Source organism: Homo sapiens, chromosome 3 (genome assembly GCF_000001405.40).
Source record: "Homo sapiens chromosome 3, GRCh38.p14 Primary Assembly".
NCBI classification, from domain to species: Eukaryota; Metazoa; Chordata; class Mammalia; order Primates; family Hominidae; genus Homo; species Homo sapiens.
In genome coordinates this window covers 114,269,574-114,286,944 of record NC_000003.12, presented here as the reverse complement: position 1 = coordinate 114,286,944, position 17,371 = coordinate 114,269,574, and the positions used below count along the sequence as shown (strand labels likewise).

At 40.8% G+C, this 17,371-nt stretch overlaps 1 annotated feature.

The window, feature by feature from the left end:
• Positions 11,091-12,290: an enhancer, noted in NCBI's record as "MED14-independent group 3 enhancer chr3:113993502-113994701 (GRCh37/hg19 assembly coordinates)". NCBI's record gives its function as "activates an origin of replication core promoter dependent on BRD2, BRD4, P300/CBP and CDK7 cofactors, and independent of MED14, by STARR-seq in HCT116 cells {active_cell/tissue: HCT116}" and the evidence as "EXISTENCE:reporter gene assay evidence [ECO:0000049][PMID:35650434]".

The following is a 17,371-nucleotide window of genomic DNA, read 5'->3' as shown; positions in this document are numbered from 1 at the left end:
ATATGTGTGTGTGTGTGTGTGTGTGTGTGTAGTATAAAAAAGGAAAAGCCATTCCTAAAATTAAAGGAAAAAAGAAATTAATCATATATAAAATTAATAACAATCATACAGAAAAAAATAATTATGTCAACTGAGTTTGAAACTTAGCACTGTGTATTTCTTTGATGGGCTATAATCTAGGATAAAAAATAAAAGTATATATAATCAATTCATTCAGTTGCATTGTTATTTTGAAATAATACAACAAATAAATAATTATATTGTTAGAAATCAAGATTTTCAGCTTGAAAGAAAATAGATATTTATAAATATAAACTCAAATAATTAAGTAAAACTCTCTGTAGTGTTAAATTTGAATTTGAACTATCATTACAAAGTCATGATTTTAAAGAATACATAGACAAGCATATCTCATTTTGTTGCTCTTCACTTTATTGCACTTTGTAGATACTGCGTTTTTTACAAATGGAAAGTTTGTGGCCACCCTGCATAGAGGAAGTTAATCAGCACCCTTTTTCCAACAGCGTGTGCTCACTTCATGTCTCTGTGTCAAATTTTGGTAATTTTCACAATATTTCAAACTTTCTCATTATTATTGTATCTGTTAAGGTTATCTGTAATTAGTGATCTTTGACATTACTATTCTGATTGTTTTGGGGTACCACAAACCAGGCCCATATAAGATAGCAAAATTAATAAAATTGTGTGTTCCAACTGCTTCACCAACTGGCCATTTCCCCATCTCTCTCCCTCTCCTCAAGCCTCCCTATTCCCTGAGGCACAACAATATTGAGATTAGGTCAATTAATAACCCTACAGTGGCCTCTAAATGTTCAAGTGAAAAGAAGGGCCACGCATCTCTCATGTTAAATCGAAAGTTAGATATGATTAAGCTTAGTGAAGAAGGCACACTGAAAGTTAAGATTAGCCGAAAGCCTGGCCTCTTGTACCAGTTAGCCAAGTTGTGAATGCAAAGGAAAATTTCTTGAAGGAAATTAAAAGTGTTATTTAGTGAATTAACATACAAATGATAACAAAGTGAAACAGTCTTATTGTTACTATGGAGAAAGTTTTAGTGGTCTGAATAGCTAGCTGATCAAACAAGCCACAACACTCCCTTAAGCCAAAGCCTAGTCTAGAGCAAGGTGCTTATTCTCTTCAATTCTATCAAGGCTGAGAGAGGTAGGAAACTTCAGAAGAAATGTTTGAAGCCAGCAGAGATTGGGTTCATGAGGCTTAAGGAAAAAAGCTGTCCCATAACATAAAAGTACAAGGTAAAACTGCAATGCTGATGTAGAAGCTGCAGCAAGTTATCCAGAAGATTTAGCTAAGACCATTGAAGGTGGGTACACAAAATAACAGATTTTCAATGTAGACACAATAGCCTTATGTTGGAAGAAGGTGCCCTCTAGGATTTTCAGAGCTAAAGAGAAGTCAACACTTGGCTTCAACTTCGAAGGACAGGCTGACTCTCTTATTAGGGGCTAATGGAGCTGATGACTTTAAGTGGAAGCTAATGTTCATTTAACATTCTGAAAATCCTAGGGCCCTTAAGAATTATGCTAAATCTACTCTGCCTGAGCTCTACAAATGGAAAACAAAGCCTGGATGACAGCACATCTGTTTACAACATGGTTTACTGAATATTTTAAACTCAGTGTTGAGATCTACTGCTCAGAAAAAGAGATTCCTTTCAAAATGTTATTGTTCATTGACAATGCACCTGGTCACTCAAAAGAACTAATAGAGACATACAAGGAAATTAATGTTGTTTTCATGCCCGCTAACACACCATCCATTCTGGAGCCCTAGATCAAGGAGCAATTTTCAAGTCTTATTATTTAGGAAATATATTTCATAAGGCTATAGCTACCGTAGATCGTGATTCCTCTCATAGACCTGGACAAAGTAAATTGAAAACCTTATGGAAAGGATTCATCATTTTTTTTAGACATAATGCTATTGCACACTTAATACATTATGGTATAGTGTAAACATAACTCTTATGTACACTAGGAAACCAAAAAATTGTATAACTCCCTTTATTGCCATTAGGAATGTTGCATGTTCCTAATGGCAATTGTATACAATAGGAAATTGCGTAACTCCCTTTATTGCCATTAGGAACATTCATGATTTATAAGAGGAGGCCAAAATATCAACATTAACAGGATTTTGGAAGAGGTTGATTTCAACACTCATGGATGACTTTAAGGAGTACAAGCCTTCAGTGGAGGAAGTAACTGAAGATATTGTAAAAATAAGAAGAGAACTAGAATTAGAAGTGGACTCCACAGGTGTGACTGATTTTTGGCAATCTCATGATCAAACTTGAATGGATGAGGAGTTGCTTCATATGAATGAGCTAGGAAAGTGGTTTCTTGAGATGACATCTACTCCTGGTGAAGATCCTGTGAACATTGTTGAAATGACAACAAAGATTTAGAACCTTACATAAACTTGATAAAGCAGCAGCAGGATTTGAGAGGATTGACTCCAATTTTGAAAGAAGTATTACTGTGGATAAAATGCTATCAAATAGCATCACATGCTACAGAGAAGTCTCTTGTGAAAGGAGAACTCAATTGATATGGCAAACTTCATTGCTATCTTATTTTAAGAAATTGTAATAGCCACCCAAACTTCAGCAACTACCACCCTGATCAGTTAGCAGCTATAAACATAGAGGCAAAGCCCTCCACCAGCAAAAAGAAACTACTCGCTGAAGGCTCAGATAATCATTAGTATTTTTTAGCAATGAGGTATTTTCAATTAAGGTATGTTTATTGTTTTCTAGAAATAATGCTATTGCACACTTAATACACTACAGTATAGTGTAAACATAACTTTTATGTACACTAGGAAACAAAAAAATTGTGTAACTCCCTTTATTGCAATATTCACTTTATTGCAGTGGTCTGGAACCACGCTTGCAATATCTCCAAGGTATGCCTGTATTGTCTGACTCTGCCCATTGAAAGAGCCAAAAAAAAAAGTAATATTCGAGTAGCAATGGGTATCCCTAGAGCTAGATTATGGTTTCTAAATATTCCACATTTAAGAAACCAAGTCTTCTTAGACAAATAACTCACCCCAAGTGTGGGGCAAAGAATATACAAAGCCAGCCTGGAATATCTCACTATTGTAGGAAATAGGAGAACTTGTAAAGATCAATGGGATTATGTTAAAAAGACAAATCATTTTGAAGGGATCACAACTGGCCAACCATTGGGCCAATTTGAGTATGAAAAAAATGGCAATAAGAATATATTAAAGGCCATAAATATCTAAATGACACAAAAAAATAGAAACTACAAACAAAACAAATTTCATGTGTCATCATTGGAAGCGATATTTTGCCAACTTTATTTTCTGAAAATTGGAAATTGAAGGTAAAAATAATTTATCCTGTCTTTCCAGTTGGAATTCTATTTAAGGGTAACTAAATAGCCCAGTTGATGAGGGAAAGTGCTTCTCTGCAGAATAATTTCAGATAATAAATGTAAAATAAATTTGTAAACCATAATGAAATAGTTGATTTAGTTAAGGATCATAAACCATTAGGTAAAACCTGATGGCAAAGCAGATGTTCCAAGGGCTAAAGCAGCCCCCACAGATTGCCTGCTGGTCACAAGAGGAAAAAATGGAATTGCTCAAGGGGAAATCAAGCTGTCACCACTTTATACCAGGGACCAATCTAAACACTCAAATGGGGACAACTAGACACACTATGCCATCAAATGGGACCCAAGAGGAAATATACAATATCATCTTTGAAACGTTCTTGCCTAAAATGTTTAACCAGAATCTAATCAGGCCTTTAGGCATAACTTCTAGTTTATAGAAAACTCAGTACAGCGGATAGATCCTGTTAAATTACCTTCCATTAAGCAAAAAAGAAAAATGCAAAATGTGGAGCAATCGCTTTAATAAGACAATTCATGAGAAAAAAGAAGGGAGAGGGATTATTCTATATTTATTTATTTATTTTTTTAAGTTTTCCTATGCAAATTTTGTTTTTTTCTTTTTATTTTTTTCTTTTTTTTTTTTAATTATACTTTAAGTTTTAGGGTACATGTGCACATTGTGCAGGTTAGTTACATACATATACATGTGCCATGCTGGTGTGCTGCACCCACTAACTCGTCATCTAGCATTAGGTATATCTCCCAATGCTATCCCTCCCCCCACCCCACAACAGTCCCCAGAGTGTGACGTTCCCCTTCCTGTGTCCATGTGATCTCATTGTTCAATTCCCACCTATGAGTGAGAATATGCGGTGTTTGGTTTTTTGTTCTTGCGATAGTTTACTGAGAATGATGATTTCCAATTTCATCCACGTCCCTACAAAGGACATGAACTCATCATTTTTTATGGCTGCATAGTATTCCATGGTGTATATGAGCCACATTTTCTTAATCCAGTCTATCATTGTTGGACATTTGGGTTGGTGCCAAGTCTTTGCTATTGTGAATAGTGCCGCAATAAACATACGTGTGCATGTGTCTTTATAGCAGCATGATTTATAGTCCTTTGGGTATATACCCAGTAATGGGATGGCTGGGTCAAATGGTATTTCTAGTTCTAGATCCCTGAGGAATCACCACACTGACTTCCACAATGGTTGAACTAGTTTACAGTCCCACCAACAGTGTAAAAGTGTTCCTATTTCTCCACATCCTCTCCAGCACCTGTTGTTTCCTGACTTTTTAATGATTGCCATTCTAACTGGTGTGAGATGATATCTCATTGTGGTTTTGATTTGCATTTCTCTGATGGCCAGTGATGGTGAGCATTTTTTCATGTGTTTTTTGGCTGCATAAATGTCTTCTTTTGAGAAGTGTCTGTTCATGTCCTTAGCCCACTTTTTGATGGGGTTGTTTGTTTTTTTCTTGTAAATTTGTTTGAGTTCATTGTAGATTCTGGATATTAGCCCTTTGTCAGATGAGTAGGTTGCGAAAATTTTCTCCCATTTTGTAGGTTGCCTGTTCACTCTGATGGTAGTTTCTTTTGCTGTGCAGAAGCTCTTTAGTTTAATTAGATCCCATTTGTCAATTTTGTCTTTTGTTGCCATTGCTTTTGGTGTTTTAGACATGAAGTCCTTGCCCATGCCTATGTCCTGAATGGTAATGCCTAGGTTTTCTTCTAGGGTTTTTATGGTTTTAGGTGTAACGTTTAAGTCTTTAATCCATCTTGAATTGATTTTTGTATAAGGTGTAAGGAAGGGATCCAGTTTCAGCTTTCTACATATGGCTAGCCAGCTTTCCCAGCACCATTTATTAAATAGGGAATCCTTTCCCCATTGCTTGTTTTTCTCAGGTTTGTCAAAGATCAGATAGTTGTAGATATGCAGTGTTATTTCTGAGGGCTCTGTTCTGTTCCATTGATCTGTATCTCTGTTTTGGTACCAGTACCATGCTGTTTTGGTTACTGTAGCCTTGTAGTATAGTTTGAAGTCAGGTAGTGTGATGCCTCCAGCTTTGTTCTTTTGGCTTAGGATTGACTTGGCGATGCGGGCTCTTTTTTGGTTCCATATGAACTTTAAAGTAGTTTTTTCCACTTCTGTGAAGAAAGGCATTGGTAGCTTGATGGGGATGGCATTGAATCTGTAAATTACCTTGGGCAGTATGGCCATTTTCATGATATTGATTCTTCCTACCCATGAGCATGGAATGTTCTTCCATTTGTTTGTATCCTCTTTTATTTCCTTGAGCAGCGGTTTGTAGTTCTCCTTGAAGAGGTCCTTCACATCCCTTGTAAGTTGGATTCCTAGGTATTTTATTCTCTTTGAAGCAATTGTGAATGGGAGTTCACTCATGATTTGGCTCTCTGTTTGTCTGTTGTTGGTGTATAGGAATGCTTGTGATTTTTGCACATTGATTTTGTATCCTGAGACTTTGCTGAAGTTGCTCATCAGTTTAAGGAGATTTTGGGCTGAGACAATGGGGTTTTCTAGATATAGAATCATGTCATCTGCAAACAGGGACAATTTGGCTTCCTCTTCTCCTAATTGAATATCCTTTATTTCCTTCTCCTGCCTAATTGCCCTGGCCAGAACTTCCAACACTATGTTGAATAGGAGTGGTGAGAGAGGGCATCCCTGTCTTGTGCCAGTTTTCAGAGGGAATGCTTCCAGTTTTTGCCCATTCAGTATGATATTGGCTGTGGGTTTGTCATAGATAGCTCTTATTATTTTGAAATATGTCCCATCAATACCTAATTTATTGAGAGTTTTTAGCATGAAGGGTTGTTGAATTTTGTCAAAGGCCTTTTCTGCATCTATTGAGATATTCATGTGGTTTTTGTCTTTGGTTCTGTTTATATGCTGGATTACATTTATTGATTTGCGTATATTGAACCAGCCTTGCATCCCAGGGATGAAGCCCACTTGATCATGGTGGATAAGCTTTTTGATGTGCTGCTGGATTCAGTTTGCCAGTATTTTATTGAGGATTTTTGCATCAATGTTCATCAAGGATATTGGTCTAAAATTCTCTTTTTTGGTTGTGTCTCTGCCCGGCTTTGGTATCAGAATGATGCTGGCCTCATAAAATGAGTTAGGGAGGATTCCCTCTTTTTCTATTGATTGGAATAGTTTCAGAAGGAATGGTACCAGTTCCTCCTTGTACCTCTGGTAGAATTCGGCTGTGAATCCATCTGGTCCTGGACTCTTTTTGGTTGGTAAGCTATTGATTATTGCCACAGTTTCAGATCCTGTTATTGGTCTATTCAGAGATTCAACTTCTTCCTGGTTTAGTCTTGGGAGAGTGTATGTGTCGAGGAATGTATCCATTTCTTCTAGATTTTCTAGTTTATTTGCGTAGAGGTGTTTGTAGTATTCTCTGATGGTAGTTTGTGTTTCTGTGGGATCGGTGGTGATATCCCCCTTATCATTTTTTATTGCGTCTATTTGATTCTTCTCTCTTTTTTTCTTTATTAGTCTTGCTAGCGGTCTATCAATTTTGTTGATCCTTTCAAAAAACCAGCTCCTGGATTCATTAATTTTTTGAAGGGTTTTTTCTGTCTCTATTTCCTTCAGTTCTGCTCTGATTTTAGTTATTTCTTGCCTTCTGCTAGCTTTTGAATGTGTTTGCTCTTGCTTTTCTAGTTCTTTTAATTGTGATGTTAGGGTGTCAAGTTTGGATCTTTCCTGCTTTCTCTTGTGAGCATTTAGTGCTATAAATTTCCCTCCACACACTGCTTTGAATGCGTCCCAGAGATTCTGGTATGTTGTGTCTTTGTTCTCTTTGGTTTCAAAGAACATCTTTATTTCTGCCTTCATTTCGTTATGTACCCAGTAGTCATTCAGGAGCAGGTTGTTCAGTTTCCATGTAGTTGAGCGGTTTTGAGTGAGATTCTTAATCCTGAGTTCTAGTTTGATTGCACTGTGGTCTGAGAGATAGTTTGTTATAATTTCTGTTCTTTTACATTTGCTGAGGAGAGCTTTACTTCCAAGTATGTGGTCAATTTTGGAATAGGTGTGGTGTGGTGCTGAAAAGAATGTATATTCTGTTGATTTGGGGTGGAGAGTTCTGTAGATGTCTATTAGGTCCGCTTGGTGCAGAGCTGAGTTCACTTCCTGGGTATCCTTGTTGACTTTCTGTCTCATTGATCTGTGTAATGTTGACAGTGGGGTGTTAAAGTCTCCCATTATTAATGTGTGGGAGTCTAAGTCTCTCTGTAGGTCACTCAGGACTTGCTTTATGAATCTGGGTGCTCCTGTATTGGGTGCATATATATTTAGGATAGTTAACTCTTCTTGTTGAATTGATCCCTTTACCATTATGTAATGGCCTTCTTTGTCTCTTTTGATCTTTGTTGGTTTAAAGTCTGTTTTATCAGAGACTAGGATTGCAACCCCTGCCTTTTTTTGTTTTCCATTTGCTTGGTAGATCTTCCTCCATCCCTTTATTTTGAGCCTATGTGTGTCTCTGCACGTGAGATGGGTTTCCTGAATACAGCACACTGATGGGTCTTGACTCTTTATCCAATTTGCCAGTCTGTGTCTTTTAATTGGAGCTTTTAGTCCATTTACATTTAAAGTTAATAGTGTTATGTGTGAATTTGATCCTGTCATCATGATGTTAGCTAGTTATTTTGCTCATTAGTTGATGCAGTTTCTTCCTAGTCTCGATGGTCTTTACATTTTGGAATGATTTTGCAGTGGCTGGTACCGGTTGTTCCTTCCCATGTTTAGCACTTCCTTCAGGCGCTCTTTTAGGGCAGGCCTGGTGGTGACAAAATCTCTCAGCATTTGCTTGTCTGTAAAGTATTTTATTTCTCCTTCACTTATGAAGCTTAGTTTGGCTGGATATGAAATTCTGGGTTGAAAATTCTTTTCTTTAAGAATGTTGAATATTGGTCCCCACTCTCTTCTGGCTTGTAGGGTTTCTGCCGAGAGATCCGCTGTTAGTCTGATGGGCTTCCCTTTGAGGGTAACCCGACCTTTCTCTCTGGCTACCCTTAACATTTTTTCCTTCATTTGAACTTTGGTGAATCTGACAATTATGTGTCTTGGAGTTGCTCTTCTCGAGGAGTATCTTTGTGGCGTTCTCTGTATTTCCTGAATCTGAATGTTGGCCTGCCTTGCTAGATTGGGGAAATTCTCCTGGATAATATCCTGCAGAGTGTTTTCCAACTTGGTTCCATTCTCCCCATCACTTTCAGGTACACCAATCAGACGTAGATTTGGTCTTTTCACATAGTCCCATATTTCTTGGAGGCTTTGTTCATTTCTTTTTATTCTTTTTTCTCTAAACTTTGCTTCTCGCTTCATTTCATTCATTTCATCTTCCATTGCTGATACCCTTTCTTCCAGTTGATCGCATCGGCTCCTGAGGCTTCTGCATTCTTCACGTAGTTCTCGAGCCTTGGTTTTCAGCTCCATCAGCTCCTTTAAGCACTTCTCTGTATTGGTTATTCTAGTTATACATTCTTCTAAATTTTTTTCAAAGTTTTCAACTTCTTTGCCTTTGGTTTGAATGTCCTCCCGTAGCTCAGAGTAATTTGATTGAAGACTTCTTCTCTCAGCTCGTCAAAGTCATTCTCCATCCAGCTTTGTTCTGTTGCTGGTGAGGAGCTGCGTTCCTTTGGAGGAGGAGAGGCGCTCTGATTTTTAGAGTTTCCAGTTTTTCTGTTCTGTTTTTTCCCCATCTTTGTGGTTTTATGTACTTTTGGTCTTTGATGATGGTGATGTACAGATGGGTTTTTGGTGTGGATGTCCTTTCTGTTTGTTAGTTTTCCTTCTAACAGACAGGACCCTCAGCTGCAGGTCTGTTGGAGTACCCTGCAGTGTGAGGTGTCAGTGTGCCCCTGCTGGAGGGTGCCTCCCAGTTAGGCTGCTCGGGGGTCAGGGGTCAGGGACCCACTTGAGGAGGCAGTCTGCCCGTTCTCAGATCTCCAGCTGCGTACTGGGAGAACACCTGCTCTCTTCAAAGCTGTCAGACAGGGACATTTAAGTCTGCAGAGGTTACTGCTGTCTTTTTGTTTGTCTGTGCCCTGCCCCCAGAAGTGGAGCCTACAGAGGCACGCAGGCCTCCTTGAGCTGTGGTGGGCTCCACCCAGCTTCCCAGCTGCTTTGTTTACCTAAGCAAGCCTGGGCAATGGCGGGCGCCCCTCCCCAAGCCTCGCTGCTGCCTTGCAGTTTGATCTCAGACTGCTGTGCTAGCAATCAGCGAGACTCTGTGGGGTAGGACCCTCCGAGCCAGGTGCGGGATATAATCTCGTGGTGCGCCGTTTTTTAAGCCCATCGGAAAAGCGCAGTATTCGGGTGGGAGTGACCCAATTTTCCAGGTGCCGTCCGTCACCCCTTTCTTTGACTAGGAAAGGGAACTCCCTGACCCCTTGCGCTTCCCGAGTGAGGCAATACCTCGCCCTGCTTCGGCTCGCGCACGATGCGCGCACCCACTGACCTGCGCCCACTGTCTAGCACTCCCTAGTGAGATGAACCCGGTACCTCAGATGGAAATGCAGAAATCACCCGTCTTCTGCGTCGCTCAGGCTGGGAGCTGTAGACCGGAGCTGTTCCTATTCAGCCATCTTGGCTCCTCCCCCTCCGGATTATTCTATATTTAAATAAATTTAGAAGACGTGACAGCCAAATGCAATTTATGGTTCTTGTTTGGCTCTTAGTTTGAACAAAGAGATTTGGTGGACAATTGTAAAAAAGCAACTAGAGATTCAGTATTAAATTATATTAGTAAACTACTGTTAGTTTTATTAAGTGTGTGTGTTATGGACTGAGTTTTATCTCTCCAAAATTCAAATGTTGAAATCTTAACTCCCAGTATGTCAGAATGTGACTATATTTCAAGATAGAGCCTCCAAGAAGGTGATTACAGTAAAATGAAGTCTTTAGGGTGAGTCCTAAACCACACTGACTAGAGTCTTTATAGTAGAGAAAACTTGGACACAGAGACACAAAGATGGAGAGGAAACCATATAAGGACAAAGCAAAAAGTTGATCCTCTGAAGCCAAAGAGAAAGGCCTCCTTGAAGAAACCAAACCTGCCAACACCTTGATCTTGAACTTCCAGTCTCCAGAGCTGTGAGAAAACAAATTTTTGTTGTTTAAGCCACCCAGTCTGTGGTATTTTGTTATGGCAACCCCTAGAAAACTAATACAGTGTGATAATAATATTGTGGTTATGTAGGACAATTTTTTTAGAGATTTCTACTGAAGTGTTTTGGTGTGAAATGTCTATAATTTTTAAACTCTTAAAAATGGAGAAAATATGGCAAAAAAGTTAATTGTTAAGTTTAGGTGATAGTAATATGGGTATAATTCTCTTTCTTCTACTTTTCAAAACTTGTAGTAAAAAGTCAAAATGAAAAGAAAGGAGGTGTTCAAGCGCAGCTGAAAGAGAAAGAGTACCAGGAGGAGGGGGCAGAGCAAGATGGCTGAACAGAAGCCTCCACCAGTGTCCTTCCTACAGGAACACCAAATTCAACAACTATCCACACAAACACCACTTTCATAGAACCAAAAATCAGATAAGCAGTCGAAGTACCTTTTTTTAACTTCATATTTCTGAAAGACGCACTGAAGAGGATAGGAAAGAAGTCTTGAATTGCCAATGGCACCCCTTCACCATCCCCCAACAGCCATCACATGATGCAGAGAGAATCTTGGTGCTTTGTGGAAGGAGTGCAGAGATTGTGAGACTTTGCATTGGAATTCAGTGCTGCCTGTCACAGTGGAAAGCAACACTGGGGAAAACTCAACTGGTGCCCACAGAGGGAGCATTTAGACCAGTTCTAGCCAGAGGGGAATCGTCCATCCGAATAGTTTGAAACTGAGTTCTGGCATGCCTCGCCATTGTGGGCAAAAGTCCTCTGGGGTCTTAAATAAACTTGAAAGGCAGTCTAGGCCACAAGTACTAAAATTCCTGAGCAGCTCTTTGTGCTGTGCTGGACTCAGAGTCAGTGGATTTGGGGGCACATGACCTAGTAAGATACCAGCTGAGGTGGCCAAGGGAGTGCTTGTGCCATTCCTCCCCCAACCCCAGGCAGCACGGCACACAGCTGCAGTAGAGACTTCTTCCCCTCTACATGAGGACAGGAGAGGGAAGAGTAAAGGAGACTTTGGCTTGCAACTTGGATGCCAACTCAACCACAGTAGGATAGGGCACTGTGCTTCCAGGCCCCAGCTTCTGGATGACATTTCTAGACACATCCTGTGCCAGAAGAGAACCAGCTGCCTTGAAGGGAAGGGCCCAGTCCTGACAAGATTCATCACCTGCTGAATAAAGAGCCCTTGGGCCCTGAATAATCAGTAGCAGTACCCAGGCAGTACTCACTGTGGGCCTTGGGTGAGACTCTGTGTCATGCTGGCTTCAGGTGTGACTCAGCAAATTTGCAGCTGTGGTGCCTATGGGAAGAGAATCTTTCTGCTTCAGAAAAGAAGAGGACAGAGTAAAAGGGACTTTGTCTTGCAGCTTAGGTACAAGCTCAGCCACAGTCGGTTAGAGCAACAAGCAGGCTCTTAGAGTCACCACTTCCAGGCCTTGCCTCTTGGAAAGCATTTCTAGACCAGGCTTGAGCCAGAAGGGAGCCCACTGCCCCGAAGGGAGAGTCTCAGGGCTGGCAACATTCACCACAAACTGACTGAAGGACCCTTGGGCCTTGAATGAACATCAGTGCTAGTACTTGCTGTGGGCCTAGGGCCATGGGGGCCATGGGAACAGACTCCTCTGCTTGCAGAAAGGGGAAGGAAGAGTGGGAAGGAATTTGGCTTGCAGCTTGGATGCCAGCTCAGCTGAAGTAGAATAGAGCGCTAGATGGATTCCTAAGGTTTCCAACTCCAGGCCCTAGATCCCAAATGGCATCTCTGAATCTGGGACCAGGAGAAACTTGCTGCTTTGAAAGGAAAAACACAAGCCTAGCTGGATTCACTAGCTGCTGACTGTAGAGCCTTGAGTGAACACACGCAGTAGCCAGACAGTAGTTAACATGGGCCTTGAGCAAGATGCAGTGCTGTGCTGGCTTCAGGTCTGACACAGAGCAGCACCAGTGGTGGTGTCCAGAGGGGCACTTGTGTCACCCCATCCCCAGCTCCAAGAAGCTCAGCACAGAGAGAGAGAGATTTCATTTGTCCAGGAGAAAGTAAGGGAAAAGAACAAGAGTCTCTGCCTGATAATCCAGATAATTCTTCTGGATCTTATCCAAGACCACCAAGGCAGTACCTCTGAGTCTGCAAGAGCCACAGCATTACTGGGCTTGGGGTGCCTCCTAATGCAGATACAGCTGCAGTGACCAAAATGTGGATCACAATACCCAAGTCCCTTTGAATACCTGGAAAGCCTTCCCAAGAAAGAAAGATGCAAACAAACCTAGACTGCAAAGACTACAATAAATATCTGACTTTCAATGCCCAGGCACTACTGAACATCCACAAGCATCAAGACCATCCAGGAAAATGACCTCACCAAATGAACTAAATAAGACACCAGTGACCAATTATGGAGAGGCAGAGATATGTCACAGAGAACTTAAAATAGCTGTTTTGAGGAAACTCAATGGAATTCAAGATAACACAGGGAAAGAATGCAGAATCCTATCAGATAAATTTAACAAAGAGATTGAAATAATTAAAAAGAATCAAACAGCAATTCCTAAGTTGAAAAATGCAATTGACATACTGAAGAATGCATCAGTCTCTTATGAACAGAATGAATCAAGCAGAAGAAAGAATTAGTGAGCTTGAAGACAGGCTACTTGAAAATACACAGAGGAGATGAAAGAAAAAAGAATAAAAAAGGATGAAGCATGCCTACAAGATCTAGAGAATAGCCTCAGAAGGGCAAATCTAAGAGTTATTGGCCTTAAAGAGTAGGTAGAGAGAGAGATAGGGATAGAAAGTTTATTCAAAGGGATAATAACAGAGAACTTCCCAAACCTAGAGAAAGATATCAATATTAAAGTACAAAAAGGTCCTAGAACACCAAGCAGATTTAACTCAAATGATATGGTTTGGCTGTGTCCCCACCCAAATCTCATCTTGAATTCCCACGTGTTGTAAGAGGAAACCAGTAAGAGGTAATTGAATCATGGGCATTGTCTTTCTTGTGCTGTTCTCATGATAGTGAATAGGTCTCACGAGATCTGATTTTTGTTTCGTTTTGTTTTGGTTTGGTTTGGTTTGGGTTTTTTTTGAGATGGAGTCTTGCTCTGTCATCCAGGCTCGAGTGCAGTGGCACGATCTTGGCTCACTGCGAACTCCACCTCCCAGGTTCACACCATTCTCCTGCCTCACCTCCTGAGTAGCTGGGACTACAGGTGCCTGCCACCATGCCTGGCTAATTTTTTGTATTTTTTAGTTGAGATGGGGTTTCACCGTGTTACCCAGGATGGTCTCGATCTCCTGACCTCGTAATCTGCCCATCCCAAGCAAAAGCTAAAAAATTGTGTTAACACTAGACCTGTTCTACAAGAAATGCTAAAGAGAGTTCTTCAATCTGAAAGAAAAGGATGTTAATGAGGAATAAGAAATCATCTGAAGATACAAAACTCACTGCTAATAGTAAATACACAGAAAAATACATAATATTATTACACTGTAATTGTGGTACATAAATTACTCATATCTTGAGTAGTAAAATGAAAAGTCAATCAAAAATAATAACTACAACTTTTTAAGACATAGTACAATAAGATATAAATAGAAACAATAAAAAATTAAAAAGTGATAGGATGAAGTTAAAGTGTAGAGGTTTTATTAGTTTTTTCTTGCTTGTTTGTTTATGCAATGTCATAAATAAACATAAACAAAGTGTTATCATCAGTTTAAAATAATAGGTTAGAGCAGTAAAAGTGAAAGCTCTCAGAAAAAAAATGGCAGATAGGAGGCAGGACTAACTTGCAGCTCCCACTCAGATGGACAGAACAGCATGTGAAAACACACTGTGAACTTTAGCTCCAAGAACCACTGCAGGAACATACCAGGAAAACCAAAAGAATTCATAGACCCTTTGAAAGAAGTGGCTTTCCACTGCAAACTCCATGAGACAGCCAAAAATCTGTCAGTTCCAAAAGTGTGAAGGGGGAAATCCTGCCTCTGAACACACATCCTCACTGGGGAACCTGAAAATCCAGATCATAGGAGAAGGATTTAACCTTACCTAGAGCTTAAACAAATTTAGAGAGCCAAGCGAAATATAAAAGTAGAAGTAGCAGCAGGAAGAGCCCTGTAGGCACTCCCAGTCCTCAGGGAAGCCATTTCTGATTTTATCTCATAGGGGTCCTTGGGGAGGGCAGCCAGTGGAATTGGGGAAGGATCACAGGGAAAAGAAGGCTTCCAAAGGAACTTTGTAATAATTTTGACCGAGCATGAATTTTCCTGGGCAAAAAAGTTGGAGCAAGAGGGTGAACAAGAAGTACAGATACAAGCACAGAAGCTGCAGCAGGCAGGGAAGGGCAAGACCTGAAAGCCCTGCTTGCTTTCTCAGTGGGGAGGCTTGTAGACTGAGGTAGGACCTCAACCCTATGCACCAGAAGCCTGGATATAAATTCAGCTCTGTTGGCTGTTGGGAGAGCTGGCAGGAGTCAGACTGACCTTGCTGGCTGCATGGGAGCTGGGTGAGGCCAGTTATATTAGTCTGTTTTCACACTGCTGATAAAGATATAACCAACACTGGGAAGAAAAAGAGGTTTAATTGGACTTACAGTTCCACATGGCTGGGGAGGCCTCAGCATCATGGTGGGAGGCAAAAGGCACTTCTTACATGGCGGCAGCAAGAGTAAAAAATGAAGAAGATGCAAAAGTGGAAACCCCTGATAAAACTGTCAGATCATGTGAGACTTATTCACTACCATGAGGACTGTATGGGGGAACTACTCCCATGATCCTAATTATCTCCCAATGGGTCCCTCCCATTACATGAGAGAATTATGGGAGTACAATTCAGGATGAGATATGGGTGGAGACACAGAGCCAAACCATATCACCTGTCACAGCTGGCTTTCCCTGATTTCCCTGGCAACGCGTATGAAGCAGCAGAGGCAGCCATAATCGCCATTGGATCATAGCTCCATTGGCCTGAGAACTTCTCCCCTATCCCCCACAGTGCCCACAGCAAGCCTGACCCAAGGAGAGCCTGAGCTCAGACATGTCTAATCCTGCCCCCACCTGATGGATTTTCTCTACCTGCCCTGGTAGCCAAAGACGAAAGACATAAGCTTATAGGAGCTCTATGGTCCAACCCATTGCCTGAGAAATATGAATACTTATCCAGGTGACCTTAGGGCAATCTTGTATACTACTACTATATTACTTGTATACTACTGCTAGTATACTACTGCAGTTGACGCTGTCTTGAAAATGCTGTTTCCTGGTTGGAGGTCAATCAACTTAAGCCATTACAGCAACTCATAACAGAACAACCCTGTCCCAAGGAAGGAGAAAACAGCAGCTAATTCCACTATTGTAATATCCTGACTAATCAGAGGTCTTGAGTCTGTCCACATGACAACTTCATTGCTGGTGTAATCAGCATTTTTTTTTTTTTTATTTTTATTTTTTTATTTTTTTTTTTTTTTGAGACGGAGTCTCGCTCTGTCGCCCAGGCTGGAGTGCGGTGGCGGGATCTCGGCTCACTGCAAGCTCCGCCTCCCGGGTTCACGCCATTCTCCTGCCTCAGCCTCCCAAGTAGCTGGGACTACAGGCGCCTGCCACTACGCCCGGCTAATTTTTTGTATTTTTAGTAGAGACGGGGTTTCACCGTTTTAGCCAGGATGGTCTCGATCTCCTGACCTCGTGATCCGCCCGCCTCGGCCTCCCAAAGTGCTGGGATTACAGGCGTGAGCCACCGCGCCCGGCCTGTAATCAGCATTTGAGAAAACAAGTGCACTAAACAAAACTATAGCCACGGACTCTCACAGAGTCCACTTCACTCACCAGCTACCTCCACCAAAGCAGGTACTGGTATCCATGGCTGAGAGACCTGAAGATGAATAACATCACAGGGCTCTTTACAGACACTCCCCAGTACCAACCTAGAACCTGGTAGCTCCACTGGATGGCTAGACCCAGAAAAGCAATAACAATCACTGCAGTAAAGCTCTCAGGAAGCCCTATCCCTGGGGCAAGGGGGAGAACAACACATCAAGGAATCACCCCATGGGAAAAAAGAATCTGAACAGCAGCGCTGGAGTCCCAGATCTTCCCTGTGATATAGTCTGCCCAACTGAGAAGAAACCAGAAAAAAACACTTTTGGTAATATGACAAAACAAGGTTCTATAACACCCCCAGAAGATCACACTAGCTAACCAGCAATGGAGCCAAACCACGAAAACATCTCTGAATTGCCAGAAAAAAAAAAAATTCAGAAGGTTGATTATTAAGCTACTCAAGAAGGCACCAAAGAAAGGTGAAAAGCAATTTCAAGAAATTTAAAAAATAATGCAGGATATGGATGAAAAAATCTCCAGATAAATAGATATGATCATAAAAAACAATCACAACTTCTGGAAAGGAAAGACACACTTAGAGAAATGCAAAATACACTGAAAAGTTTCAGCAATAGAAATGAGCAAGTAGAAGAAAGAACTTTGGAGCTTGAAAGTGAAGCTTTCAAGTTAACCCAATCTGACAAAGACCAAATAAATAAGTAAATAAGTAAGTAAATAATGCTTCCAAGAAGTTTGGGAGTATGTTAAATGACCAAACCTAAGAATAATTGCTGTTCCTGAGGAAGAAGATAAATCTAAAAGTTTGGAAAACTTATTTGAGGGAATAATCAAAGAAAACTTCCCTGGCCTTGCTAGAGATCTAGATATCCAAATACTAGAAGCTCAAAGAACACCTGGGAAATTCATTGCAAAAAGATAATCACCTAGGCAAAGAGCCATCAGGTTATCTAAAGTCAAGCCAAA